The following is a 2,845-nucleotide window of genomic DNA, read 5'->3' on the forward strand; positions in this document are numbered from 1 at the left end:
GGATTGATATTCTTCTTTAAATGTTTGGTATAATTCTGCTATACATCTATCTTGTTCTGGGCTTTTCTTTGATGTGAGATTTTAAAAAACTTATTGATTCAATCCGTACAGGTTGTTGGTCTGTTCAGATTTTCTATTTCTTCTTGATTTAGTCTTGGTAAGTTGTATGATTTTAGAAATTTATCCATTTCTTCTACGTTAGCCAATTTGTTGGTATTGGGGCATTTTAGTTTAGGAGAGCTGTATAAAATCCAGGTAACGGGGTTCATTAAGAATACATTTTACAAAAGTGGACCACACTGAAGACAGAGATTTGAGAGCCATAGATTTTCAGATAAGTGGAGAGATGAAAAGTTCAGAGCATAATTAGGACGTGGATTGTGAGAGTGAAATTAAGGGAAAAGTCCCATAGGTGTGAATATCGATAAACAAAGAAGTTAATGAGTTTGAGCAGCTACCAGCACTTTGCACAGAGGGTAAGGGTAACTGGGAGGAAACCTGTCAATCAAGCTGCAAAGCTCAGAAGAATTTAGGCTCCAGAGGCCTAAATTTGGCTTATAGTTGTTTTCATCACTCTCTGTATGCATCAACCATCATGTAAAAATTAGAGAGAGGGAGAGAGAGAGAGGGCGGAAGAGAGTGAGAGAGAGATCTCATTAATTTTCAGACACTTCAGAAAGAGAATAGGCCGTCAAGTGACTCAAAGGTAAGTGCAAGACCTTAGTCCAACCCTTCCCTAAATTCCCAACAATTGCTTGAATTTCTTTTAGCATATGCCTCAAAGCTACTGCCCAGCTCATCTTTAACAAGATAGCATAATGTGGAGAAAAGAACAGAGTTTTCCAAACTTGATTTAATGTGTGGCTCTGCTATGCAGCCTTAAATAGTTATTTAATTTCTCTGAGCCTGGTTTGTTGCATTTATAAAATGGAAATAAGTAATTCATAGATCTGCTATGATAACATAGTATTGCATATGTAAAGGATCTATGTGGGTAAACAGAAGCACATATAGGCATATTCGTAACCCACCTCCAAACTACACATCTTATAATTTTGAGAAAAGTTTAAGGAAGTTCTTCCTTACACTAAAGAGCAATTTTCAAGCACTGAAAATTTTACCTTTTGTAACAATCAGGATTAATTTTTGTCCTTCTTGTCTAAGTGAGTGACAGAAGAAAACTGAGAAAGAGGGAGCAGAAGATTGTCTTGACATCAAAGGTGCTAAAGTAAGGACTATTTGGGGCATCTAATATGTGTGAAAGTGTGGTAACCCAATCCCAGATTAAGTCAAGTGCATTTGAAAGGTTTCCCAACTGTGAAAGTTTCTCTAAGTAATTCTCTCAATAGGCTCACCTCAGGAAATTAACACACTCCAGGACCAATTGAAGTTCTTATCAATTAAGCTAATTGACACAGCAGGCTTAAACTATTTCCCAAAGGTGAATATAAAGCATTAGTTCAACAAATGAATACCTCTTAAATCTTTTGAAAGCCTTCCCTAGTCAACTAGTTGAATGCAAAAGCTATATACATACATATAGATAAGCTTTAATAATACAAAAGTCATCCTTTAATTAAGTGGCCCTGTGTTGGGATCAGATCATTTATATTCAAGGAAACATAATTTTTTGTTTAAAATATTAAGAAAATCAGTGTTCTAGTGAAATTCTTTTCAGCCTTGTAAAAATTGGTTTTATTATTTTTATTACAACCAAAAAGTAATATGAAATAATCATACTATTTTAGCTTTGTATTTGAATTGGAAAACCATTATTATATTTTAAAATGATGTTCTCTTCATTTCCTTATTATTATCTTTTGCCAAACTTAAGGTTCTGCTGATACTAAATTTAAAAAATAAATTAAACAGAATGGAGAATATAAAAGTTATTTTTAAAATTTTAATTATTTTTAAAGTAGAGATAATTACTATAACCTTTGAAGCTATCTTAATGACTTTCCTTTGGTCTCTTTTTGAGAAGTCTATGCTTCCTATAAAATGTATTTTTAATACCTATAAAACATATTTTTACCTCCTATAAAATGGATTTTTATCTCATTTCCCATTTTGCTACTATACTGTCTGCCTGACCTTGGAACATTTATTTAACCTCTCCATATCTCAGTTTTTTTATTAGGAAAATGGACCTAATAATATTGCCTATTTGAGAGAGTTGTTGTGCAAATTAAAAACAGGAAAATGTTGTAAAAGTTTTAGTGTATTTGCTGGTACTAGTGAGCACTCAATAAATGTGAACTATTGTTGGCAAAGCAAGGGTTAAAAGGAGAAAAGGAGGAGACTTCTAAGTTAAAGGAATATTATAAGCCAATAACACAGCAGCAGAGCTTAGCCAGGTATGATAAGGGCAGGATGTTGTTGGGCTAGAATAAATACTAATTTCACAGCAGAATGAAATAAAAGACTGAGAATAATGGCTGTTAATGGCTAATGGGGATTTTGTAAAGCCAAACTGAAAGTCAACATTTTGAGCTTTGTTTAGAGAATGGTAGTGAACTTTTGTTTGTTTTATTGTTCAATTTTAACACTCAAAAGTGAAATGATCAAATAAATCTTTTAAAAAGATTTACCTGGAACGATCAGTAGATGTGAAATTTATATGTATATCTAAAATTTCCTCACTAGAGACCAGTAAAGAAATTATTTTAAGAGTATGGAAATTGGTTGATGGTGTTTATTAGGCAAGATAAGTAGATGCCTTTAAAAGTAATGTATTGTGTTGTTCCTCTAACCTGAATTTTCACTAAGTGGAAATCAAAGTGTAAAGTCAACTAATGACTTACTGAGGTCACACCACTAAGTCTGTTAGCTCTAGGCCTAGAAC

At 33.0% G+C, this 2,845-nt stretch overlaps 1 annotated feature.

Moving 5' to 3' along the window:
* Positions 1,119-1,885: an enhancer, noted in NCBI's record as "OCT4-NANOG hESC enhancer chr6:96250823-96251589 (GRCh37/hg19 assembly coordinates)". NCBI's record gives its function as "activates a minimal SCP1, AML or CMV promoter by ChIP-STARR-seq in naive and primed H9 embryonic stem cells {active_cell/tissue: H9 hESC(naive and primed)}" and the evidence as "EXISTENCE:reporter gene assay evidence [ECO:0000049][PMID:30033119]".

The sequence above is a fragment of the Homo sapiens genome, chromosome 6, assembly GCF_000001405.40.
Source record: "Homo sapiens chromosome 6, GRCh38.p14 Primary Assembly".
NCBI lineage: Eukaryota > Metazoa > Chordata > Mammalia > Primates > Hominidae > Homo > Homo sapiens.